General features: G+C 45.9%; 1 protein-coding gene across 3 annotated transcripts in view, besides 3 other annotated features; it reads right to left on the bottom strand.

Annotated features, from left to right (window-relative positions):
- OVOL2 (ovo like zinc finger 2) overlaps positions 1–16,088 on the bottom strand; it is a 35,037-nt gene extending 18,949 nt beyond the window's left edge. Inside the window, exons 1-2 of one of the 3 annotated variants that reach the window (NM_001303461.1) lie at positions 15,790–16,088; positions 13,557–13,777 (exon numbers count right to left, since the gene is read on the bottom strand). Coding sequence is in view for 1 of the 3 variants with exons in the window: in NM_021220.4 (NP_067043.2) it covers positions 13,557–13,777; positions 14,435–14,534 (321 nt within the window). In the remaining 2 variants the exon portion in view is untranslated. Of the gene's footprint in view, positions 1–13,556; positions 13,778–14,434; positions 14,817–15,789 lie in introns of those variants that run through there. The other 2 variants (NM_021220.4, NM_001303462.1) reach the window with 2 other exon arrangements.
- Positions 10,393–10,893: an enhancer, noted in NCBI's record as "H3K27ac hESC enhancer chr20:18034137-18034637 (GRCh37/hg19 assembly coordinates)". NCBI's record gives its function as "activates a minimal SCP1, AML or CMV promoter by ChIP-STARR-seq in primed H9 embryonic stem cells {active_cell/tissue: H9 hESC(primed)}" and the evidence as "EXISTENCE:reporter gene assay evidence [ECO:0000049][PMID:30033119]".
- Positions 13,221–14,008: an enhancer, noted in NCBI's record as "H3K27ac-H3K4me1 hESC enhancer chr20:18036965-18037752 (GRCh37/hg19 assembly coordinates)". NCBI's record gives its function as "activates a minimal SCP1, AML or CMV promoter by ChIP-STARR-seq in naive H9 embryonic stem cells {active_cell/tissue: H9 hESC(naive)}" and the evidence as "EXISTENCE:reporter gene assay evidence [ECO:0000049][PMID:30033119]".
- Positions 13,410–13,499: a silencer, noted in NCBI's record as "silent region_12700". NCBI's record gives its function as "represses an Ori minimal core promoter by ATAC-STARR-seq in GM12878 lymphoblastoid cells {active_cell/tissue: GM12878}" and the evidence as "EXISTENCE:reporter gene assay evidence [ECO:0000049][PMID:35858748]".

A 27,635-nucleotide genomic window follows, 5' to 3' on the forward strand; every position in this document is an offset into this window, starting at 1 on the left:
TCCTGCTGACTAGAGCACCAACAGTCACCTTGGACCATGAGGTGGGAGGAGCAGAAAGGAGTCTGGGTCCTCATGACATCATGGAGCCTGGTATGTTATATTACAGACAGTACCCAAAGAGAGCCACACTCAATTCTGTCCTCCTTGTGCCTGCATCCTGCTCCATTTATCAAGAGATGGAGACTGTTTTCCCTCCCCTTGAATCTGGGCAGGGCTTATGACCAGTTGGATCAACAGAATGCAATGAAGATGTGTCAGTTCCAGGTTTTAAGAGACCTTGTAGCTTCCATTTCTTCCCTCTTATAAGCCAGCTGCCACATAAGAAGTCTGAGGCTACCATGCTGTGAGGAAGCCCAAGCTAGCCATGTGGACAGCCAAAGGCCACATGGGGGAGCACGGAGGAGCCAGATATGAATAAAGCCTGATTGGACTCTCCATCCCAACTCAGGGCTGCCACCAGCTGAATGAGTCGCCCCCACTAACACTACCCAGAGTAGAACTGCCTAGCAGAGCCATGCCTATGGCTTTTGTCTTGACCCACGAAATCATAAACGCATAAAATTATCATTTTGTAAAGCGGCTTGGTCAGTACCCACAGCTTTGTTATCAGCAAAACCACAACCAGACCTGGGTCTGGACTCCCTGCCCAGTGCTTTCTACCACCTTCGCTGCTGCTAAGGAAGAACATAGAATCTACATCTGGGTGATAAAAATGATGTGTTCAATTTTAGTATCTGATTTGGTAACTTTTGAACATGTGATGTGAATGTTACCAAATCAGATCCTTTAGAAGATGGATCCCATTGCTCTGCCAAAATTCATCACTAGCAAGAAGACTGGTCCTCTCCTGGCTCCACACTCTCCCAGCTTCAAATACTCTCCTCTTTCATCCACCCTGGGTATTGCCCTCCCAGGACTCAAGGGAGCTCAGTTGCTCCCTTGCCGATGCAGCCTTCTCCAAATACTGCAGCCCATGACTAAACTGCTCACTGTCCCACTTAAACCAGTGCCTCTCAGACTCCAGCATACCTATGCCTCCCCTGGGGTCTTGTTAAAATGCAGGTTCTGATTCAGGAGGTCTGGTAGGGTCTGATGTGCTGCATTTCTAACCAGAGCCCAGGAGATGCCACTGCAGCTGATGCACACGCCACACTAGCCCTGAGAAGTCATGCTATATTCCATCTCATTCCCAAGTTTCACTATGCACACAGTTCATCTTGTTTTCTCAACTCAACACTTTGAGGATGGTCAGCAAGCATTCGGTCCCATTCCTGCCTCCCTACCCACTGCTCCAAGCCTAGTCTAGGGCCAGTGCACAATCAGTATGTGCTGACCGGCAGCTGGGAGCAGGTGGCAGGATGCAGAGAGTCTCAAGGGAGGCACAAGACCCCAGAACAGGGTATTCCAGTCAGCCTCCTCCACTAGTTCATTTTCCTTTGCTTGGAGCTTAATTTGCCCCAGCTAACATTGATAAGTCCCTGATCTGTGACAAGCCCTGTGCTTAGAGCTGGAGGCAATACAGTTAGAGATGGCTTAATCCCCAGTCCCTAGGAAGCTGCCGAGTCTAGTGGGGGTGCAGGCAAGTCAACAGCCATTGACATCTGAGAGGCCCAGGGGTCCGAGGGGGCACCTACCCCAGACCTACAGCACCAGGGAAGATGCTTCCAGAGGAAGTGAGCTCCTTAGTCAGGCAAAGATGAGGAAGAAAAGGGGTGCACAGCAAAGAACATTCCAGGAGAGGACAATGGGAAAGAGGGAACTGTGTGTGGTTCAGCATGGCTAGCCTGAGCCTGGGAGAGCAGTTAATGAAGAGAGCAGTGGTAGCTGAGAAGAACAAGATCCCCTTAGGAGTCTACCTTGAGGGCCCTACTGGAGCTGGAATGTAGTCAAAGGGCAAGAGGGAGCCACTGGAAGACAAAGGGGGAACATCACAGGGGCTGAGTTCGATGACCCAGTTGGGTGGCTGTCCTGGATCCTCATCAACTACCTCACTCCCCAGAACTGCAGCTGCCCACCTCTACCCAAGGCTTTCCTATCACCCACGCAGTTCATGTTCTCCTTGCCCGGCAGTCCCCATCCTGCTTACTTCCACCCTTGAAGGGATTTGAAAAGACTAAATATGCTCCACTAAGTACTTTGAGCTTCTAAAGACCAAGTGTGCACAAGCACATTTGAGTGGTAGTGAGGGGCTAATGAAATAGAACAAAGACAATTACCCTGGTAATTCCAGTTAAAATTAGTAAAAACCTGCAACTGTCTTTTGAAAGTCTTGCAGAATGTGCCTAAGGACTCACCAACCATAGTTCAAACATGAATTCTTGTTTAATCTTTTTGACAAATTCCTATTTTTAAAATGCTCTGAATGCAATACAGATGCCTTCTATTGCAGTCTAGAATGAAAATCTCAAATCGTCGGTATTATTTTGTTTGAAAAGAATAAGATCTTGAAGGGCACAGGGAAGGGAGATCAGTGACAATTTAAGGGAGTACAGGGCCAGTAGATCATCTGATCAAGACATAGAAAGTGTGTTATTTATTTTTGTTTGTTTTTAATTTTTTTTAGAGATAGAATCTCACTATGTTGACCAGACTGATCTTCAACTCTTATCCTCAAGGGATCCTCCTGCCTCAGCCTCCCAAAGTGCTGGGATTACAGGCGTGAGCCACAATGACTTGCCAGGAAGCTTTATAAAACAGGGGAGAAAATGGGAGTGGAGAGAAGGGGTTGGAGACTGAAGGCACACCTAATTCTCAAGGGGACGTTTCCTCTGGTTTTCTTAGAGCAAAAATGGAAATTCTCCACATATCCCTCAGCAAAGGCAATTTTTCCATTTCTCCCCATTTCACAGCATGGAAAGCTGAGTCACCAAGAAGTGGCTCAGGTAGGGAATTCATCCTGTGGCACACCCTCCAATCCATTAAGTGCTGCTTACCACCCTTATGACCAATCCAGCCATCAGATATTAACAAATTACACTCAAAGTCTTCAGGAGCCTTGTTGAAAGAAGATGTAAGGTTATTTAATGGCAAAAAATCATGGCTGACAAAGCTAGCTTCTGCCAGACTATTTCACTTCTCAGAAAGGAAGGGATCTTTGTAAATTCCTAAACATGAAATTTATCCCTAAAAGTATATTTAATATGCCTTGTGCCTTGAAATTTGGTTTGTAATAGCAAAGGACTGGAAACTAAATACATGTCTATCAATAGGAACTTGTGAAAAAACGGTGGCAGAACCTTACAATTAATGCACTGGACAAAGGTAAGAGGCTAGAAGCAGTTCAAGTGTCACCTGCCAGCCATGTGAGTGAGCCCTTGTGGATGTCCATCCCAGTCAAACCCCCAGAAGACTCCAGCCTCAGCCGCCATCTGACTGCAACCACAAGGCAAGAACTGCCCTGCTAAGCCCAGTCATCCCACAGAGGTGGATGATACAATACTACATCATTTCATCTATTAAATTTGGAGATTCTTGTGAAGCAGAAATAGGTTAACTGGAACAGTAATAAACGTATCATTCTCTCCAGACGCCAGACCTGCCACATTTCTAAGTGTCTCTCCCAGGACTGCATGGTACAGAAGACACATCTGACTCCTGGACTGATGTCTCATGGGGCAGAGGACCAGCTGACCCCGCCTGGATCAGGATCACAGCTCTGCTCACTGGAGCACCTTTATTTTGTTTACATAGGTTTACACCTAACACTGTACCTCCTAAAAGTTAAAAAAGAGTTAATCGATCTTACCTTGTTCCTCTACAAGTACTAGACTAAACTTAATTACATCTTAGTCATGTTAGTTACAAAACAATAGTGGAATAGAGAGACAATAAATCTGAAGGATCAAAAAAAAAAAAAACCTAGATCTGGCTAGGGGTGTGATATGGAATGTCATTTAACATCCCTATGTCACAATTTCCCCACATGTAAAACAATAAAATGGTATTAGATGATCTCTTCAGCAGTATAAGAAGCTAAGAGCAGGGTCTGTTTTCCAGTTTCCTCAATTCCTTCAATTCCTGTTCTACCACTTAGTTTGTGGCAAGTTACCTAACTTAGTTGTAGGCAAGTTACCTAACTTCTCTAAGCCTTCATTTCATCACCTGTAAAATGTGAATAATAATATTTGCATTGGCAGGCGTGGTGGCTCACGCCTGTAATCCCAGCACTTCAGGAGGCCGAGGTGGGTGGATCACCTGAGGTCAGGAGTTCGAGACCAGCCTGACCAATATGATGAAACCCCGTCTCTACTAAAAATACAAAAATTAGCCGCGCATGGTGGCTACTCATAATCCCAGCTACTCGGGAGGCTGAAACAAGAGAATCGTTTGAACCCGGGAGGCGGAGGTTGCAGTGAGCCGAAATTGTGCCGTTGCACTCCAGCCTGGGCAACAAGACTGTAACTCTGTCTCAAAATAAATAAATATAAATAAATATAATAATAATATCTGTCTCTTAGAAATAAATGAAATTGGCAGGGCACAGTGGCTCACACCTGTAATCCTAGTACTTTGGGAGGCCAAGGCCGGTGGATCATCTGAGGTCAGGAGTTCGAGACCAGCCTGACCAACATGGTGAAACCCCGCCTCTATTAAAAATACAAAAATTAGCCAGGCATGGTGGTAGGTGCCTATAATCCCAACTACTTGGAAGGCTGAGGCAGGAGAATCACTTGAACCCGGGAGGCGGAGGTTGCAGTGAGCTGAGATTGCGCCATTGCACTCCAGCCCAGGCGACAGAGTGAGACTCCGTCTCAAAAAAAAAAAAAAAAAAAAAAAAGAAAGAAATGAAGAAATTAAATCTTAATTTAATTAACCTGGTGCTTTGTAAGTCCTATTATAGTTAGACCAACTCCAAAATTCTGTGGTCCTAAACAAAAGGTAATTGGTCAAAATTTCTTGTTTCTCGGCCAGATACGGTGGCTCCTGCCTGTAATCCCAGCACTTTGGGAGGCTGAGGGGGCAGATCACCTGAGGTCAGGAGTTCGAGACCAGCCTGGCCAACATGGTGAAACTCCATCTCTACTAAAAATACAAAAATTAGCCAGTTGTGGTGGTGCACGCCTATAGTCCCAGCTACTCAGGAGGCTGAGGCACGAGAATCACTTGAACCCGGGAGGCGGAGTTTGCAGCGAGCCAAGATCATGCCACTGCATTCCAGCCTCAGCCATAGAGCAAGACTGTCTCAAAAGAAGAAAAAAAAATTTGTTTCCCAATTTGCTTTTGAATTTTTCTCTCTTTGATGGAAGAAAAGGGGAACTAAAAAAAACAAAACGAAACTAAAAAGGGAGCCACTAGCTCCCAGTCCTTCATCTGCAACTCTGTAATTCAAAAAGCTCTGAAAAACAGCTGGGTATAGTGGCTCATGCCTGTAATCCCAGCACTTTGAGAGGTGTAGGCAGGAGGATCATTTGAGGTCAGGAGTTCAAGATCAGCCTGGCCAACATGGTAAAACCCTGACTCTACTAAAATACAAAAATTAGCTGGGCATGGTGATGCACACCTGTAATCCCAGCTACTCAGGAGGCTGAGGTGGGGGGCGGCGGTTACAGTAAGCCGAGATAGCACCACTGCATTCCAGCCCGAGTGACAGAGAGAGACCCTGTCTCAAAAAATAAAATAAAATAAAACAAAACATATGACAAAAAGCTCTGACAACCAACATTCTCTCCTATCTCCCGTGACAGTGAAATCTGACCTGAGCTGATGTAAAAATATGTGCAGACTTTATCCCATTTAGTGTCAATATTCACATTTTAATATGGAAATTATTAATATATTTAATTATAAGGTACTGCTCCAAGCCTGCCAGGGGTGGTTTTTACACCATGCTACCTTCTGGAAAAGCTTAATCGTCTCACCCTTAATCCAAAATTAACACTTTGCAAAAGGCTTATTAACGAGGTGGGGAAACTACCATACAGGGAGGGAAATGACCTTGGTCTTGAAATTAATTCAGGGCACGAAGACGAAGAGACAATGAACAGCTCTCCAACCCCATGGCCTGGCGCTTTTCTGAGCACTGTCCTGTTTTCTGCAGGATCTCGGCTTTCATTTCAAAAAATGTGCAAAATTCTCCTCAAGTTCTTCTTCTAGAAAACAGGACTCAGCGGCAGAACAAACCAATCATTGTCTCCGCACTGCTGAAAACTGCAGGAACATCCAGGGAGTCAGGGCCTTCGGCTGGCCCTCTGACCAGCTTCAAAGCCGGCTCAGATCATTCACCTGTCAAACTTCTAAAGGTGAAAACAACGACAAAAAAAAGAACAACTTTTATTTTCTGTTGATGTTTCTAGCAGACAAGTTCATTTAGTTAATGGTCTATGGGAGGATATTCTGAGTCCAAGGCTACCTTCTGGTGGCCATTTGGACCAGATTTCCACCGACACGGTGCGATGCTTGAATGCTAAAAGCATGCTAAGCATATTTCCCCAATTCGTTTGGCATTCAGATTCCCCCCCCGATCCTATGTACCATTTCCTTAGACTTCACAACTCCCCTACATGGCAGAATGGAGAGCCTTCTCAAATGCAGAGAAGATGAAGGGAATATATATCTTTATAAACCTGAAGAAGAAACTGAGGCCCAAAGAGATATGACTTGCCCACGGCCACATGACTTGTAGTGGCCAACCCTGAGAATTTTGAATGTGGTCCGTCATCTGCAAAACTTGTGCCTACAGTTCCCTCAGGACAGGCCCACAGGTCTGTGGGGCAGGAGGAGGGGGCATGAACCCCATTGTTTGTCTCATATCATCATGAGTCCTTAATGTCAGACTATCAACACTAAGGGCTAAAGCATCAAAGCCACATATTGACTACGGCTGACATACTGGACAGTACAGTTGTCCCACAATGCAATGGAACAATGCTGAAAGGTTGAGGATCCTTGGGTTGAGTTTTGCCACTAACAACTTTGAGGAACTCAACAAAAACTTGCTGGGCTTAATTTTTCTCACCCTGAAAGTAAGGAGATTTGGGGCCATACATGCTTTAAAGGTTCCTGTAGTCGATCCTATGGAAGGACTCAGTATCTATCCCAACTCCTTTTGGTGGGCCTTCCTGCACCGCCGAAGCTAGAGAAGTGAAAACTACGCTTCCCTGACTCCCTTGCCATGAGGATTTGGGAAGTAACTTGGGTTTCACCAGTTACATGCACTATCAGGAGATCTGAATTCAGCCCCGAGTTAACTGGGCAGAGGCAGGCAAGAGGCAATTGTTTTACACTTTGCCATGGCAGATGCAGGGACGGGCAGCCATCGAGGTGGCAGCTTCCTGATTGGGCAGCAGCTTCAGCTCCTAGGTGGCCCAGTTCTGCTCTGTGGCTCTGAGTCATTCCTGGGAGCTCAGCTTGGTCCTTCTTTAGTCCATTTAATACCTTTCTCTGCTTAAACTAGCTATAGTGGATTCTGATGTTCGTAACTAAGCCTATGTAGTCCTTTCCAACAATAAAAACCTACTTCACCTATATTCAAGTTTAACACCAGGCAATTAATACACATTGTTCTCATATTCCTCCTTTTCCCCCTTTTAATTAATTTAACCTTCATCAAGAATCCATTCCAAGCATTTTTCCAGTATCCCTTTTCTTCCTGCTTTCTGTGTTTTCCTTCAAATGCTATCACTCATGTCTGGGAACTGTTGACTTCTTCCCCTGCCTAAATTCTTGTTCTGTGTTCACTTATGTCCTTCTATGACCCAGGCACTACTGCACTGGTTGCTGGGTAATACGAGCCCAGTAGGAAGTGTTCCCTGGCTCTGATGGATCTAGAGTGGAAAAGAGAAGTCAGTTGGCCAAATGTGCAGCCAGGAAAATGGGCAGCAGGTTACAGTGGAGCAGGGGGAGGAGTATTCAAGTCTGTCTTGGGAGACAAAAAAACAAGAGGAAAGGAGTCAGGGATGGAGCTTATATTCCCTTCCAAATATCAAATGAATTGGTTTTTAAAAACGGCTTGAATCCATAATTCACAACAAAATGAATGAAATAACAGATTGAGAGCCAGGCTCAGCAGCATGTGCCTGTAGTCCTAGCACTTTGGGAGGCTGAGATAGGAGGATCGTTTCAGCCCAGGAGTTTGAGACCAGCCTGGGCAACATAGTGAGGCCCTGTCTCAAAAGGAAAAATAAATAAAGAGAAAGAAAAGAAAGAACTAATTAGCCATCAATGGAGAATTCTGGTTAACAACTGATTATCTTCATTTACAAATAAAGGTAAATAAAGCGAATCCAGCATTATTCTGCCTTTCATAAATGAACTGTGCCACTGGAAAACCAAGCAGTAGATGAGGCAAAGTGTATCTCTATAGAAATACATCAGTTAATAAACAGAGGACAGAATTAGATTATTGCTGTTTTAGAACACCTAATAAGCCAAAATATTTAGGTCCTGAGCATCAACAGCTGCTAACATCAGAAAAAGAGAGATAACCAAATATTCAGTGCCTCTGATGAAGACAGATGCCCCACAGTGTGACATATTCTAGCTGAAATAAAATAGAGCTGACCAAGCAGGGAGAGTTGCATTATCCAATAGAACTTTTTGTGGTGACAGAAAAATTATATTCTGTACTGTCCAGTACATTAGCCTCTGGTCACACATGGCTACTAGCATTTGAAATGTCGCTAGTAGGACTGAAGAACTTAACTGTTATTTTGAGACAGGGTCTCGCTCTGTTGTCCAGGCTGGAGTGCAGTGGTGCAATCTTGGCTCACTGCAATCTCCACCTCCTGGGTTCAAGCGATTCTCCTGCCTCAGCATCCTGAGTAGCCTGAATTACAGGTGCATGCCACCAAGCCCTACTAATTTTTTTTGTATTTTTTTTTAATAGAGTCGGGGTTTCAACATGTTGGCCAGGCTGGTCTTGAACTCCTGACCTCAGGTGATCCGCCCGCCTCGGCCTCCCAAAGTGCTGGGATTACAGGCATGAGCTATGGCGCCTGGTCTAATTGTTAATTCTTAATTGACTATGGCTGTGATAGTCACATGTGATACTGGATGCTGCAGCTGCAGATCCAACTATCCGTTTAGAGAAAACCTAGGGGACTGAGAAACATTAGGCACATGGTGATGCGCTCAGCAAAATCCAGACTGTTGGGGACTCTACAAAACAAATCACCCATTTCTTCAACAATTAACTTGATGGAGGGAAAATGTATGAAATTAAAAGAGGCTCAAAAGACATGCCAATCAATTACAATGTGTGGACATTATGTGGACCTGATTAAGCAAACTGGAGGGGAAAAGTATTAATTTATGAGACAATTAGTAATGTGAACACAATTGGTAATGTGGGTGTGATCATGAATTTTGGTCTTTATCCACTAAACGCACATTCTGAACTATTTATGGTTGAAATGGTATGATGTCCTAGATTTGCTTCAGAATCATGCATGGGGCAAGGGGTGGGAGTGTGGCTGGGCAGGACTGGCCATGGGTTAATGGTTGTTGGGGCTGGGTGGCAGATACGTATGACTATGCCTTTGAGATTGTAAATAATACAAAGTGATGGGGGTATGGGGACTACTCCGTAGACACACATCTGCACCACTACAAGACTCGATAGAGAGCCGGGTAAAAGGCCAAGCATACTTTTGAAAGAATCTAAACTTAATTTATTTTGAAGAACCCATGGGAGAGGACAAAAAGAAAGAACAGAATAGGAAAGGGTGAGAGGACAAATTCACTTGGTACTCCATACTTGGACCTGGGTCCTACCAGCCAGAGAATCACGTATGAATACTATCAGCCAACTTCAGAGTTACTTACTTTCTAATAAGCCTCCAAAGGACAATGGTGATTAGTATTTCCTGGGTTTCTCTACCCCGCAGCTGAAGACCTGCAGATGGATCCAGCACAAAAGGGACCTGCCATGCACACTCTCTGGAATGTACATCATCTTCTCACCCTTATTTGTTTGGCAAATTACAGAATTCTCAGTAGTAAAGAGACAATTTCACAATCTGCCCTGAGGCACACCGTCAAAAGGCAGGTAGGCTGGGAAGGGCCAGCCACATTTCCTAATCTGCACCTCGGACTCCTTTTCCAGATCCACCCATCAACACGATCAAGTTAGTGAATCCCATGTCCTTACAGCCAACAAAATGTTGGGCATTAAAACTTGCTGTATGTCACTGTCAGCTAACTTCCTCTTGGGCAGTTTACACATGCACAGAAAGCTAAACACTTTACACCCACTATCTCATTTAATCTATGCAACTCTTCTAGGAGGCTGATTCTTTGAGTCCTCCACTTTACAGATCAAGGAACTGAGGCTCAGAAGAGATAATGATCCATGAACACAGCCGTTAAGAGGGACCCAAATGGCAGGGCGCGGTGGCTCACACCTGTAATCCCAGCACTTTGGGAGGCCAAGGTGGGCAGATCACCTGAGGTCAGGAGTTCAAGACCAGCCTGGACAACATGGCGAAACTTCGTCTCTATTAAAAATACAAAAATCAGCCAGGCTTTGTGGTAGGTGCCTGTAATCCCAGCTACTTGGGAGGCTGAGGCAGGAGAATCACTTGAACCTGGGAGGCAGAGTTTGCAGTGAGCTGAGATTGCGCAACTGTACTCCAGCTCCAGGCGACAGAGAGAGACTCTGTCTCAAAAAAAAAAAAAAAAAAGAGGAACCCGATTGAGGTTTTCCTTCTTACATCATCCAGAGCTTCTCCTCTGCCCAGCAGGAGCACCCATATTTCTTGGCTTGGCCCCTTCACCATCTCACCCTGTCCTGGTTACATTTCCAGCTCTTTACCGCCAACTCTCTCCCTGACCCCAGCAAGCCCTGTTTCCTATCTTCAGCCACCAGAGCTTCATCCTTTCTATGCTCCAGCTGCGGGACTCAGCCCACACTGCCCTCAGGCCCACCCGCCTCCCTTCTCCCCAGCCTTCAAATCCACATCAGGACACTTTCCCCACTCAAATCGGTCACGTCTTTGTTTGGAATTCTGGTTTCACATTCACTGTCCTGCAGCAGAGTTAATAATGTTTGTGTCTCCCTATTAACCTGAATACTATCTATGGTTATTGGGCACATACCATGTTCTACCCTCCACTCATTTATCCTCACGATGCTATCAAGTAGGTATCATTATCATCTTACAGATAAGGAAACCGAGGCTCAGAGGGGTGAGCCACTTGCTCAAGGTCCACAGCTAAGAAGTGACAAAGCCAGAGCTTATATGATTAACCGCTACTGCCAGATGATTCTGGAAGGAACACCAGGGTGGGAGCATTTTTACCTCCTGCTGCCTTGCACACCCCAGGTGTTAGACGGGCAGAGTGTTGCTTCTCTGTGCCAGGCAATAGCTCAAACCTGCCCTTCTTGTGGTCCTGGGAGCCCACTGCCTAAGAAACTAATTCTTGGCTGGATGCGGTGGCTCACGCCTGTAATCCCAGCACTTTGGGAGGCTGAGGCAGGCGGATCACCTGAGGTCGGGAGTTCAAGACCAGGCTGACCAACATGGAGAAACCCTGTCTCTACTAAAATTACAAAATTAGCCGGCGATGGTGGCGTATGCCTGTAATCCCAGCTGCTCGGAAGGCTGAGGCAGGAGAATCACTTGAACCCGGGAGGCAGAGGTTGCAGTGAGCTAAGATCCAGCCATTGCACTCAGCTAAGATCCAGCCATTGCACTCCAGCCTGGGCAACAACAGCGAAACTCCATCTCAAAAAAAAAAAAAAAAGAAAGAAAAGAAAAGAAAAGAAAAGAAACTAATTCTTAGAGAAATTGTGAGTTCAGCATGCCTTGGAAAGAACTTTATAATTATACAACGTGCTAAGTCACAGGCAATTTGGTCAGTCATTTGAAAACTGCCAATGCCATGGCTGATAATAATTCTGGAGGCTTGGAGCATATTAACACCAAAATGTTTCCTTTTTGGGGGTAGAGGCAGAAAGAGGGAACCTAAACATCCCCAGTAAATAAAAATTCCCCTGGAAACTATGGAAAGAAGACTCTTAACGGTTCAGGAGTGAACTGTGCCTCCCGCCCCCCTTCCCCCAGCACACAGGCAACTAATCTAGGAAATAAGATTGGTTTACGTCTTCCTTTAATCCAGGATTCCAACGGCCCTGTGTGCCTGAGGCAGAAGAGTTTGCCTAAAATATTTGTTAAGAGACTGGATGAGAATCTGTCACTTTCTCTCCAGGGGAATCTGGGCAATTGGGGGACAGAGGGGCAAACTAGCTGCAGAGGCTCCCAAAACAACGTTGCAATTGTCCTTCCAGCCTGGTGATAAATATGCAAGTGGGGCACTTTGTAGAATCTCCCGAAGGGCAGAGCTACCAGCCTCAGGCAAATTTTTCCCTCCCACTTAACCCCACCTGGCCCGGAAGAGCCTCAGGCCAGCTGACTTTGAACCTCACCCTCACACTTACCGCTAAGCTGCCGGCCCGCACGGTTTCGGCAGCTTCTTCTTTAAAGAGGTCTTTCCTTTGGATCCCAGCTGAAGCCTCAAACCTCAGTTCAAAACCAAATGCGCCTCAGCCCACCCCGGAGTCAAACCCTGGGAATACGCAATGTGCATAGGGGACCTCTCCCAGGAAAATGAGGGGTCCTTTCTCAATCCACAGCAAAGCCCAGGCTCTCCCTCCCCACCGCCCTCTACTCCCGGTCTGGGTGGCAGGAGGGCACCGGAGAGCCCTGGAATTACCACCTGCACCGGGGGTCTAGGGGGTGCACAGTGTAGCACTGCGGCCCACCAGGCTAGAAAGAGGGGCCAAGTGATCATAAACCACCACCTCCTAGCTCCAGCTGGCTGAGTCAGTGGAATGGGATTCCTAAACCTTGGTGGGTAGCGGATACCTTTGAGCAGACCATCATGGAAGTTCTGCCCGAAAGCGCAGGTGGGCGTCCAGAATGTTCGAGGGGGCCCCGAGGCGCGACCATAGATGGGAGGAAACACTCCAATCCACTGGGGTAGGGGCGCTCGAGAAATCTGTAGTTGAACCCTTTTACCCATCAATTTAATTCAAGATTGGAAAGATGACAGATCTAAAGTGCCGTGCACAAGCCTCCTGTCTGACAGACACTGGGAACCGGTTCATGTTGGGAGAGGCCCACTATGTGTCAAGCTGCCGCCCAGGTCCAGAACATAAGCATGGGGGGTGAACTCTCAGAATCGCGGCGCCAGGAACTGCGTCCCAGAGGGTGGAATTTCTGAGAGCGCTGAGGCTTCCTTTCCAACCTCAGGAACTCCGACGGCCTTGGTTATTCTACAGGCCTAGCGCACAGAACGGGCTGCTGGCGGAAGGCAGTGATGCCTGTGCCTTTTCGGCAGTTCCAGAGGCAGCACTCGGCATCAGGCGGGGCCACCGGGAGGACGGAGCCCACTCCGGGAACCGGCCGCCCCTGCGCAGCAGCTACCCTGCGGGCGGGAGGACGCGCCGAGGCGCCCTGGCCGCCGCCCAGGGGCAGGTGCAGGAGCGGCGCGGCGGGCGCGCTCGGGGCGCGGGTGCCGGGTTGCGCAGGCGGGCGCGGCAGGGAGGGGCGCCGGCCTCGGGAGCCCGACGCCAGGGCGTGGTGCAGGTGGCGGCGGGGGCAGAGTCGACACAGTACCTTGATTTTCGATCTGGCGACCGGGCGCTGCTTGGTCGCCAGGTGTCCATCGGGGCCCTCGGCGTCGCCGGGCTCGGGGGTTTCGCTCTCGGGGGCGTGCGGGGACGAGCTGCTCTCTGCTCCTCCAGGCTCCCCCGCGCTGCTGCTGCCGCTGCCGCTGCTGCTGCCGCCGTCGCTGCGGCAGTCCTCGGGGGGGTCGTGGAGCAGGCGGCCTAGGCCCACTGTGGAGGGAGGGGCCGCGCCCCGACACACACACTCGGCGTCAACCCGCACGCCCGCGGCAGTTTGACCTGCGGGCGGTGCTGCCGCCGCCCCGCCCCGGACCTGGGCACCTCGCCAAGTGGGCAACGTCGCGGGGGAGGCCAGTAAGCCCCGAATCGGCCCACAGAGCTAGCTTGGGGTGCTCGGAGCCTCTTTCCGGTCCCAGCCAAGGCGCCCACGAGGAACCGGGCGGCCACGAGCGGCGGAGGACCCCGCGCGCCAAGTTTCCTCTCAGGGCGGGGGAGGCGGATCTGACCTCTCCCCAGCTAGCCCCAGAAGGGTTGGCGAGCCTTTGTGCACCCCCATGAGGACGTGAGATTGGGGGTAGCCTCTGCTGGCTTTCAATCCCTTTCCTGGGCCACCTTGGCCCGCGCTGCAGCCAACGGTCCCGCCGCCGGGCAATTAGAGGCTCCCACTACGGGGAAGGGGGCGCCTAGAGTCTGGGGCATCCCAGTCCCTCATTGCCTGCCCTAACCCGCCTAGAAGACCCCCGCGTGCCCCCCGGAAGAGGGGGATGAGGTGGGGAGCCCGCCCCTGCCGATGAGCAGAGAAGACCCGCCACCCCTTCCCCCACCCCGGGAGCCCAGCGCCCAGGCCCGGCCCCCGCGCGCGCTCACCTGGGATGTAGGTGTCTGCCCTTTTCTCATCCGGGAGCTCATCCCAGCTGCGGACCGAGACCCCCAGGCTCCTCCTCTTCACCAGGAAGACTTTGGGCATGGTGGGGTCCCCTCTCCCGACTGCGGCCCCCTCCTCCCGGCTGCTCCCCGCTAGGGGCAACGGCGGCGGCTCCGTCCCCGGCTCCCGGCGGCCAGAGCCCACCTTCCCGCCTCGCCTGCCCTCTTCCTCCACCCCCCGCCGCGGCGCGGCCCAGGCCTCTCCCCCGCACGCCTGGCGACTCCCAGCCTCCCGGCTCGGCGACACCTATGCCTTAAATCGCGAGTGAGACCACGCCGGGGAAAAAGTTTCATAAGGTGGAATAGAAAAGGCACCAGGAAACTTGGGACTGAGCATGCGCCCTGCAACATAACGGTGTCAACAAGCTCGCTACCTGTCCGACCGGTTCCGGCGGCCGGGGCTGCCTGTTCCAGCCCTTCCTTAGGCATGAATGTTTGCAAAAGAATTTAAAGTCTGTTCTTCCCCCTCCTCTTTTTAAGAAAGGAAGAACATTTTTTAATCAACCCCCGCCCCATTCCCCCATCACCTGCACCTCGAGGCGAGCTCTTCGAGGTAAACCCCAGGTTCGCCTCCCAGGGCACCCCTCCGGTGAGTTGGGGCCTCCCACGAGTTGCCCCCCTCCCCCGCCCGGTGGATTTGTCTTCGACGAGCCAGAAAATGGCTCAGTTCCCCTGGACCTTGTGGAGCCTTCCTGGGGCTTGATGAAATCTGGGCGGTCAGAAGGGGGAGGCGGCGGGAGACTTCCAAGGATTCTGATTATTAATAATGGGGGGTGGGGGCTTAGGGGCTTAAGCTTTCCATCAGCTACAACACCCCCCCCCCATAAGCAGTAAAAATAAATTTAAAAATTCGGCATCTTTAGACCACGTTATTTTTCTGACTAGTATCATACAATCTAAGAAAAACAAGCCTTGCCCCGCCAAAGCAGCTTCTCCTCACAAGACGTTGCACCCCCCGAGAGCCCCCTCACCCCAAGTAAACACACAATAGAAACAAAAGCCAGGAGCATATTATGCAAATGCAGCTTCAAAACAAGCCCCCAATCCTCGCCCACTCCCACCGTTGCCTCTCCTAACCACCCGATCCCCAAATTCTGAGACTGGGAAATACCTTTCCAGGAAGCTAGCATAGTGAACATTGGCTACATCTTCTAGCCGCCCCTACCGGGGAGGTAGGAAAGCTTTGCATTTATTATTATATCTGTTTGTTCCTATCAACCTTTATGCCTGGAGGGGAGAGGGAGAGAAGGAGGGGGAGTTGGTAAAATATGCCAAGTTTGTAAAGCAGTTGTGCTCACGTTGCGGGGCGCGCTGCCCTTCCCAAGGCCTTGTTCGGGTGCGCCCAGGACAACCGGCACAGCCTCTTGTGTCGCTGCGGTCGCCCTCCTCCAGGAGGTCGTCAGACGTGTGCCAGCTGCCGGGTGCTGCGGGGGCGCGTCTGGTCAGGGATGCCCTGGAGCCCAAGGCTCACCCAACAGCCAGCCTCACCTGTCTGTAACCTGACCCTCCGCGCTCCCAGCCTACAGGGCCCGGGAATCAACACAGCGGTTTTCCCTGTTCCCTTCCGCCCTGAATGGCCCTTGGGGACACAACCGCCTGGTAACGGATTTCTCGGCGCTACTGGCGGACTCGCGCGGCGCAGGGAGCCGGGGCGCAGCTCTGCCGGGGCTGCGGGCGGGACCGGTGCGCGGCGCCTCTAGGTCTGCCCTCAAGGAGTCACCCTCTCTGGACTGAACTCTGAACTCCAGCTTTTCTCTAAGAAAAACCAGCTAAGAACGAAAAAGACTTTGATCCCGGTGAGCCGGAGGAGGAGGAGGAGGAGGAGGAGGAGGAGGAGGAAGACATTTCTGTAGCGGTGCAGGAAAACAAGGCTTCTTGTCTATGAGGCTGATGGGGCAGCTTCCGGGAGACTCTGCAGATGTATTTTTATCCACCAACAAACGGGATTTGCTAGAAAGAAGGAGCTTGGGTGAATGGAAGAGTAAAAATGAAGTACAACTATGAAGTTACAGAATTATTCCCAGTCTTTAAAAATCTTCAAAACTTCACTTCGTTCAGAACTTCCAATTATACAGAAGAGGCTGTCAACTCCATTAACAAAGCTTTTTTTTCCTTTCACTGGATTTCAAACCAGTGAGTGTCTTGACTACTTTGCCTATTTGTATTATTTTAAAAGATTATAGGATGATGAGGTATAAGGCTAGAAACCTCCAAAGCAATGCAACCTTTATAGGTTTGGGGATGAAGACTTAACAGGATAACAACCTTTTTATTCTATGGTCGTTGGATGCACACCTACTATATTTGCTGGGTGCTTCCTGAGGAGAAAGGAATTTAATGTGTTTTATTTCTCTCTTTTTTCTTGATCAGATGTGATAGGGGTCTATCAAAATTATTAACATGTACAAAGAACCAGCTTTTATCTTGGTTGACTTGCCTCCATTGTAAGGTCGGTTTTCTAAGTATTATGAGAGGAGTTGATAGAGTATCCCAGAAAGCAGGATAAGAAGTGAACCCAATTCTCCTTTTCTTGCACTACTATTATATGCTTATACACTGTTGGTGAGAATGCAAATTAATTCAGCCCCTGTGGAAAGCAGTTTGGAGATTTCTCAAAGAACTAAGAATAGAATTACCACTGGACCCACCAATCCAATTACTGGATATACAACCAAAGGAAAACAAATCGCTTTACCAATAAACACTTGTGTGTTTATTGCAGCACTATTCACAGTAGGAAAGACATAGTATCAACCCAGGTGCCCATCGATGGTGGACTCAATAAAGAAAATATGGTACATATACACCATGGAATACTATGCTGCCACAAAAAAGAATGAAATCACATATTTGCAGCAACATGGATGCAACTGGAGGCCATTATCTGGGCAAATTAACTCAGAAACAGAAAATCTAATACTGTAGGTTCTCAATTAGAAGTGGGAGCTAAACATTGGGTACACACAGATTCAAAGATGGGAACAGTTAACACAGGGGATTTCAAAAGTGGGGAGGGAGAGAGGGGGAAAGCCTTGAGAAACTACCTATCAGGTACTATGTTCACTATTTGTTTTTATTTTCATTTTATTTTTGAGACAGAGTTTCCCTCTGTCCCCAGGCTGGAGTGCAATGGTGAGATCTCAGCTCACTGCAACATCTGCCTCCTGGGCTCAAGCAATTCCCGTGCCTCAGTCTCCCAAGTAGCCAGGACTATGGGCATGCACCACCACACCTGGCTAATTTTTGTATTTTTGGTAGAGACAGGGTTTCACCATGTTAGCCAGGCTGGCCTCGAACTCCCGAGCTCAAGTGATCCGCCCCCCTCGCCCTCCCAAAGTGTTGGGATTATAGACATGAGCCACCACAACCGGCCTGTGTTCACTATTTGGGAGATAGGATCATTGGAAGCCCACACTTCAGCATCATGCAATTTACCCATGTAACAAACCTGCACATGTACCCCCGAATCTAAAATTAAAAAAGAAAAGAAAAAGTAAATAATGCTTTAAAGCTTTTTCACATTATTTCCTAAATACCTTTATTTACATTCATTTGGCAATATTATTTGTCCCATTTTTTAAGAAGGAGGGAAAATAGGCTATGAGAAACTAAGTACCATTCAAGTTCTGCTGGGCGCTGTGGCTCACGTCTGTAATCCTGGCACTTTGGGAGGCCAAGGCAGGCAGATCACCTGAGGTCAGGAGTTCCAGACCAGCCTGGCCAACATGGTGAAACCCCATCTCTACTAAAAATACAAAAATTTGCTGGGCATGGTGGTGCACACCTGTAATCCCAGCTACTCGGGAGGCTGAGGCAGAAGAATCACTTATACCTAGGAAGTGGAGGTTGCAGTGAGCCAAGATTGCCCCACTACACCCCAGCCTGGGTGACGGAGCAAGACTCTGTCTAAAAAAAGTCTCGCTGTGTTGCCCAGGCTGGAGTGCAATGGCGAGATCTCAGCTCACTGCAACCTCTGCCTCCTGGATTCAAGTGATTCTCCTGCCTCAGCCTCCTGAGTAGATGGGATTACAGGCGCCTGACACCACACCTGGCTAATTTTTGTATTTTTAGTAGAGATGGGGTTTCACCATGTTGGCCAGGCTGGTCTCGAACTCCTACCTTATGATCCACCCGCCTCAGCGTCCCGAAGTGCTGGGATTACAGGTGTGAGTCACTGTTCCCAGCCCAATTATTCTTCATATGCACATCCTCATATCTCATTTGCAACAAAGTCAGTTTAACTTATTTATTAAATAACAAACGATCTGCATAAGTTAAAAATATATAAAAGTAGACATTTATATCTGAGCCTCTTATTACATTAAGTACAAAATATACTTTTGATTGTCTTGTCAAACTGTAGAGATGTGTTGCTGAGATAGTGCAGGTACGTTTGGTAGAGTTGAGTGAATTCTGGGTGTAGCTACTGGCCTTGAAATAGATTCATTTCCATTCCTTCCACCTGGGATCGTGGCCTCTGCCTTATTTGGACGGAGCCCTCAGTATGAAAGCAATTTATCTGGCTCATATTACACAATGTGTTAAATACCTTGTTACCTCTTTAAATATAGACATTTTGGTCATAGTCAAAGTTGAATACTCAGAACTTAAAAACACACACAAGATGTTAATAAAAACAATTTCAATTTTAAAAAAAGAAGAAATGAATCCAATTCTTTACAAATCTCAAGACTGAAGTTGGAAGAGACAGGAGACATAATGTGGTCCATACCCCGCCCAATATTGGGGGTGAGGGGTCTGTACAGCATCCTTGGTAGGTATGTATCTAGCCCTGCTTGAATACTTCTAGTGTTGGGAAGCTCACTGTCTCAAAAAGCAACCTATTCTCTGGTTAGACAACAATGATGCTAGAAAGCTTTTCTTTCTGCTTGTGGAAATCTGCTTTCCTGCCCTTCCATCTCCCCTTTTATTCTGTCATCCAGGGCTGCTGAGACTCCCCCTGTACTCCCTCCCCCTGGTAGCTCTTCAAATTCTTGAAAGCAGCCATCTGCACCCTCACTTAAGACTTCTTTTCTCCAGTAATATATATTCAGGTTGAAAGGAGGCAGGTACAAACCTGCTCAGTGGCATCCCTGGAGCACACAGCAATAAGGAGAGGGTAAGATGTTGTTGAGAAAATATTCCTAAGGAAACTTTATTTAAACTTTTTTTTTTTTTAGACAGAGTTTCGCTCTTGTTCCCCAGGCTGGAGTACAATGGCACGATCTCGGCTCACTGCAACCTCCGCCACCCAATTTCAAGCGATTCTCCTGCCTCAGCCTCCCGAGTAGCTGGAATTACAGGCATGCACCACCATGCCCGGCTAATTTTTTGTATTTTTAGTAAAGACGGGGTTTCTCCATGTTGGTCAGGCTGATCTTGAACTCCCTACCTTAGATGATCCGCCCACCTCGGCCTCCCAAAGTGCTGGGATTACAAGCGTGAGCCACCGCGCCTCCCACCTAAACTTTTAATTGAAGTATAGTACAGTATTAGGAAAATGATATATTTTTACCCACTGAACTCACTAGTGGAAAAAGCACCCAAGTACAAGCCAAGGGTGCCTGCTCTCACCACCCCACTCACATTAGATTGCTTCCTTGCAGGTACAGCAAGGCAAAAAAGAAGAAATAAGAGTATAAGGATTATAAGGGAAAACAACAAAACTACTATTGTTTGTAGTCAGCATCACTGTCTACGGAAAACCCAAAAGAATCTATAGATAAATTATTAGAATTAATAAGAGACTTTAGCAAGATTGCAGTGTAGAAAATCTGAGTGTGGGCTGGGCACAGTGGCTCATGCCTGTAATTCCAGCACTTTGGGAGGCCAAGGTGGGCAATCACAAGGTCAAGAGATTGAGACCATCCAGGCCAACACGGTGAAACCCCGTCTCTACTAAAAAATACAAAAATTAGCTGGGCATGGTGGCGCATGCCTGTAGTCCCAGCTACTCGGGAGGCTGAGGCAGGAGAATCACTCGAACCCAGGAGGTGGAGGTTGCAGTGAGCCGAGATCGCACCACTGCACTCCAGTCTGGCGATAGAGCGAGACTCGGTCTCAGAAAAAAAAAAAGAATCTGAGTGTGTAAGGTTTCAGTGTCAATTAAATTTCTACATGCCAGCAACTGTCAGAAAAATAAAAAGTCTAATGAAAAATGATTTAAAACACAACAAAAATACAAAGTCCCTTGCAATTGATTTTTTGAAAATATTGTGCAAGCTCTTTGTATATAAAATTAGAAAACTTTATTGGTAGCCGGGCATGGCGGTGTGCACCTGTAGTCCCAGAGACTCGGGAGGCTGAGGTGGGAGGATCACCTGAGCCCGGGACGTGGCGGTTGCAGTGATCCTATATGGCACCACTGCACTCCAGCCTGGGCCACAAAAAAGAAGACCCTGTCTAAAAAACAAACAAACAACAACAACAAAAAACTTTATTGGAAGACATTAAAGAAGACACTAATCAATGGAAAGTTTTACTATATTAATGGATTGGAAGATTCAGAATCAAAGAGGCCAAAAATCTCCAAATTCATCTATAGATATAATACAATTTTTAAAAATACTTGACAGTCTTTTTGTGGGACATGATAAATTTCTTTCAAAATTTATGTGAAAGAAGAGTCGAAACACTCCTGAAGGACAAGGTGTGTAGGCTTGATCAATCAGATATCAATAGTAATTAAAATGATGTGGCTTTCATTCACAGAGGGACCACTGGTACCTGAGAGAGAGCCTGGAAACAGCCCCACACATATGTGTGCATTGATTTATGAGAGAGGGTATGCAGTGCAGCAGGGAAAGATGTCATATTCAATACATGGAATTGGAACAAGTGCTTATCCGTTTGGGAAAAATAAAGGAAACTGAATAACACACATATCAGTTTCTGGTGGATTAAACATTTAGATGTGTGTGAATACATATACATGTATATGTATATAGACAATGTAGAGGAATATGTTTATGACCACAGGATAAGAAAGAATTTCTTAAATAAGACCCAAAAAATAAACCACAAAAGAAAAAGGGTTTCCACCTTGAAGAACTGTGAACTTAAAAAAGAAAAGAAAAAGGTTGAGGCTGGGCACGGTGGCTCATGCCTGTAATCCCAGCACTTTGGGAGGCCAAGGCGGGCAGATCATGAGGTCAGGAGATCGAGACCATCCTGGCCAACATGGTGAAACCCCCGTCTCTACTAAAAATACAAAAAGTTAGCTGGGTGTGGTGGCACGCGCCAGTAGTCCCAGCTACTCAGAAGGCTGAGGCAAGAGAATTGCTTGAACCCAGGAGGCGGAGGCTGCAGTGAGCCGAGATAATGTCACTGCACCCCAGCCTAGGCGACAGAGCTATACTCTGTCTCAAAAGAAAAGAAAAGAAAAAGTTGATAAATTTAATTGTAGACAAATTAAGAATGTCTTTATCAAAACACACAATAAGGAGAATGATATGCTAAACAATAAGCTGAGAAAACTTTTTCAACACATTTCTCTTACAAATGATTAGAATCCAGAATATGTAAAGAACTGTTATGAATCAATTTTTAAAAAAAAGATAAACTCAATAGAAAAATGACAAAAGACATGAACGGGCATTCCCAGGAAAACATGAATATATAAACATATATATAAAAGATGCACGATCTCATTCATAAACAATAAAATGCAAATTAAAATGACAATGAAATACTGTTTTATATCAGACTGACAAAATCTAGAAGTCTGAAAATACCAAGTATTGGTGAGGGCACCAAGCAATAGGTTTGACTTTATTTAGTAAAATTGAGCCAGAAATTCCAGTCCACATTTTTAATCTAGAAAAAGTCATCCATTAGTGAACCAAGAGACACAGGCAAGAATATTCATAATATCATCATTCATAATATTCCAAAAAATAAAAACTCAACCTAAAAATAAAAGACACAACCCAAATATCTGTCAATAACTAATTGGATGAATACTTTGTGATAAATTAATGCAAGAAAAATAAATGGCCCCACAGCCACACACATCAATAAAGCCACACAATCAAAAATATAGTTGAATGAAAAAAGTAAATTACAAAAAAATTATAATATTCAAATTATTTTTTAAACACATAAAAGTGAACAATAGGCTATTTAGGAATACAAACATATGTGTTAAAACCATTAAGCAACAGGCCAAGTGCGGTGGCTCAGGCCTCTAATACCAGCACGTTGGGAGGCCAAGGCGGGCAGATCCCTTGAGGTCAGGAGTTCAAGACCAGCCTGGCCAACATGGTGAAACCCGATTTCTACAAAAATACAAAAATTAGCCAGGCATGATGGCACACACCTGTAATCCCAGCTACTCGGGAGGCTCAGGCAAGAGAATTGCTTGAACCCGGGAGGCAGAGGTTGCAGTGAACCAAGATCCCACCACTGCACTCCAGCCTGTGCAACAGAGCAAGACTCCATCTCAAAAAAAAAAAAAGCAAAACTACAACAACAATAAAGCATTAGGCAACAATCGACAATTATGGAAGAATATCAAAAGAATTATGCTGAATGAAAAAAGCCAATCTCAAAGTTTACGTATTTTATGATTCCATTTATATAACATTCTTGAAATGACAAAATTACAAAAATGGAGAAAAGATTAGTGGTTGCTAGGAGTTAAGGATTTGTAAAAGGAAGACAAAAAATATCCTTGTGGCATTGGAACTGTGCAGTATCTTGACTGTGGTGGTTGATGTACAAGCCTACATTTGTCGTGAAATTGTATAGCCCTAAATACACACACACACGCACACACACACACAAATGAGTACAGGTAAAACGGGGTAAATCTGAATAAAAGCTGTGGATTGCTTCAATGTCAATATCCTGCTTGTGATATCATACTTTAGTTCTGTAAGATTTACGGTTGGAGGAGACAGGAAAAGGTCACACAACTGCCTATGAATTTGTAGTATCTCAAAATTAATAATTTAAATTATCATTAGTTACAGTAAGAAAATGACTAATAACAAAAGTCAGGATAGTAGCGACCACCAGGGGGAGAGGAAAGGGTATACACAAGGAGTGTCCCAACGCAAAGAAAAGATAAATGTTTGAGGTGATGAATTTCCCAATTATCCTAATTTGATCATCACACATTGTATACATCTATCAAAATATCACAGGTATCCTCAAAATATGTACGACTATCATATGTCAATAAAAAAATTCAACAAAATTGCCAGGTGTGGTGACTCACGCTTGTAATCCCAGCACTTTGGGAGGTCAAGGCGGGTGGATTACTTGAGGCCAGGAGTTCACCAATGTGGTGAAAGACTGTCTCTACTAAAAAAAATTAAAAATAAATTCAACAAAGCTCACTGACTCGTTGAGACGACTCTGGCCGTGTTGACTGCTGACGCTGTGCTCCAGCCTTCTCAGTTAGGGGGCCTAAGATCTCTTTGGTACCTGGGTTGTCTGGTAAGAGCCAGACTTGGCAGCAATCCTCTTTCTAGGCTGAACCTTGAGTCCCATTGCTTTTTGATAGATCTAATGGATTACTGCTCTGCAGCCAGTTCTTCATGTGTTACCCGTTAGGCCAGTTCTGGGGGAGGCATCCTCGTCTTTCTTTGCCATAGAACAAACACTAGTCAGTCTTGCAAAGCCTTTCTTTCACTTTCAAGTGAGATTAAGTTAATTCCGATTTGGTTAAAAACTTCCTAAAGGAGATAATTTAGTCTACTGGTTTGATACAGGTAAATGGACTTTAAACTTTCTTTAAAGTAAAGAAGTTGGTAGGTACAGTTAGATTATAGTCTTGAGGTCCGTGTGAAACCAGCGTCACCATATTTTGATTTCTTTGATCAGTTCAGGGCCTGAAAACTCTGTGGTGGGGGAGGCGAAAGAATCCAAACTTTTCCGTATGAAAGCATTTTTCACCAAAATGAGCCTCATCCCTTTACGCAAAACACACACACTAAAGGAAATAGGGAAACAGTCTTTTTATTTTATTTATTTATTTTTTGAGATGGAGTCTCATTCTGTTGCCCAGGCTGGAGTGTGCAGTGGTGCCATCTTGACTCACTGCAACCTCTGTCTCCCGGATTCAAGCGATTCTCCTGCTTCTGCCTCCCAAGTAGCTGGGACTATAGGTACACACCACCACGCCCAGCTAATTTTTGTATTTTTAGTAGAGATGGAGTTTCACCATATTGGCCAGGCTGGTCTCAAACTCCTGAGTTCAAGTGATCTGCCCGCCTCAGTCTCCCAGAATGTTGGGATTACAGGCGTGAGCCACCATGCCTGGCTGAAAGTGCCTTTTCATTTCTCCTTACCATGTATAAGTTCAGTCATTGTCTTGAACACTGTCTCAAATACTTGTTTTTTGTTGTGGATAGAATCTTCTCTGAATAAGAAGCTGAACTTTCCATAGAGAGGCCCTGGAGTCTAAAATTATCAGAACCATTAATTTATTTGTGTCTTCTATTATGATCTCTTGTTTTGACAATAAGAACCCTTATTACTTTCTCAAAAAAAAAAAAAAAATCAACAAAAATCCCAAAGAAAGACAAAGACAGGCTGGGTTTTCAAGAAAGTTCAACAAAAATCCCAAGGACAGACAAAGAGAGGCTGTGGTTTCAGGCTAGTAATGTTGGATTTCTAAACCAGGAAAGTAAGAACAATTATTATTATTATTATTATTATTTTGAGATGGAGTTTTGCTCTTGTTGCCCAGGCTGGAGTGTAATGGTGTGATCTCAGCTCACTGCAACCTCTGTCTCCCACGTTCAAGCGATTCTCCTATCTCAGCTTCCCAAGTAGCTGGGATTACAGGCTAAGTTTTTGTATTTTTAGTAGAGACGGGGGTTTCACCAGGTTGGTCAGGCTGGTCTCAAACTCCTGACCTCAGGTGATCCATCCACCTCAGCCTCCCAAAGTGCTGGGATTACTGGCATGAGCCACTGTGCCCAGCCAGAATAATTATTATTATTTCACTGTGTATATATATAATATACACTCTTGTCTGTAAAATATATTTTACGACAATTTTTATTGAGGTATAATTGACAAAAATTGTATATATTCAAGGTATAGGTGATGTTTTGCTATACATATACATTGTGAAATGATTACTTTAGTCAAGCTAATTAACATATTCATCACCTCACAGAGGTACATGTGTATGTATATATGTGTGTGGTGAGAATACTTAAGATCTCATCCATTAGCAAATTTCAAGTATACAATACAGTATTATTTACTATAGTCACTATGCTGTACATTAGATCTCTAGAGCTTATTCATCTAATTACTGAAAGTTTGTAACCTTTGGCCAACATCACCCCTTTTCCCCTACCCCATCCCCCGGTAACCACCCTTCTACTTTCTCCTTCTATGAATTTGACTTTTTAAGATTCCACATGTAAGTGAGATTATGCAATATCTGTACTTCTTGTCCTCCAGGTTCATCCATGTTGTAGAAAATGGCAGAATTTCCTTCTTTTTTAAGGCTGAATAACATCCCATTATATATGCATATTTTATATATATTTTACATTTATATATTATATATTAACAAGCCACAAAAGAAAGGTATATATCCAAAGGAATTATACATTATATATAATAAATAAAATATAGCCAAGAGTGGTGGCTCATGCCTGTAATCCCAGCTACTCGGGAGGCTGAGGCAGGAGAATGGCTTGAACCTGGGAGGCAGAGGTTGCAGTAAGTGGAGATCACTCCATTGCACTCCAGGCTGGGAGATAGAGTGAGACTCCATCTCAAAAAAAATTAATTAATTAAAAATATATATATATACACTATATAATATATACACATGTTCTTTATCCATTCATCTGTGGATGAACACTTCAGTCGTTTCCATATCTTGGCTACTGTGAATAATGTTGCAGTGAACACAGGAGTGGGGATATCTCTTTGAGATACTGATTTCATTTCCTTTGGATATATATCCAGAAGTAAGATTGCTGGATCATATGGTAGTTCTATTTTTATTTTTTTGAGAAACCTCCCTACTATTTTCCACAGTGGCTGTACCAATTTACATTCCCACCAACAATTTCTGAGGGTTCCCTTTTCTCCACATCCTTGCCAACACTTGTTATTTTTTGCCTTTTTGATAATAGTCACCCTAACAGTTGTGAGGTGATATCTCATGGTGGTTTTGATTTGCATTACACTGCTGATTAGTGATATTGACTACATTTTCATGTACCTGTCAAGCCAGTTTGTATGTCTTCTTTGGAAAAATGTCTATTCATGTCCTTTGCCCATTTTTAAATTGGGTTATTTGGGGTTTTTTTTGTTATTGAGTTGCATGACTTCCTTATTTATTTGGGGTATACTCTTACTGAATATATGATTTGCAAACATTTTCTCCTATTCCATGGGTTGCTTTCTCCTTTTGTTGATTGTCACAATAATTTTTTTTTTCTTTTTTTTTTGAGACAAGGTCTCACTCTGTTGCCCAGGCTGGAGTGCAATGGCATGATCTTGCCTCACTGCAACTTCCACCTCCCGGGTTCAAGAGATGCTCCTGCCTCAGGCTCCCAAGTAGCTGGGATTACAGGCACCCGCCACCACACCGGGTTAATTTTTGTATTTTTAGTAGAGACAGGGTTTCACTATTTTGGCCAGGCTGGTCTCGAACTCCTGACCTCAGGTGATCCACCCAGCTCAGCCTCCCAAAGTGCTGGGATTATAGGCGTGAGCCACTGCGCCCGGCCGTCACAATAATTTTTAAAAGAGAAAACCTAATCAGTTAGAATAGTGGGCATGTGTCATGCTTATAGGAACCTGCTGCACACCTTTATGCTTGGGCAATTTCCCACTTATGAGTTAACTTCCTCACAACAGAGTCTGCAAATTACTTTCCCAGACTCCATGCTACTGAGTGCAAGCGTGTGACCCAAGTTCTATGGCTGGGATTTTCCCATAGACTCCAGTTAAAAACAAACAACATAAACAACATGAACCAAGACGAGCTGCCAGTGTCTGCTGGGGCAAGGGTGACGGAGAGAGACCTCCGAAGCTTGGAGGGTGCTGTGGCCAGGTTCCTGGTGGTCGAGCCCTGTACTCAGCGAGAATGGTAGTTAGTTACTCAGGCATCCTGGACAGAGATGGCTGAAACAGACACCCTCGCAGGAGTGGCCTGCACTTT

The sequence above is a fragment of the Homo sapiens genome, chromosome 20 (genome assembly GCF_000001405.40).
Source record: "Homo sapiens chromosome 20, GRCh38.p14 Primary Assembly".
Classification (NCBI taxonomy): Eukaryota; Metazoa; Chordata; class Mammalia; order Primates; family Hominidae; genus Homo; species Homo sapiens.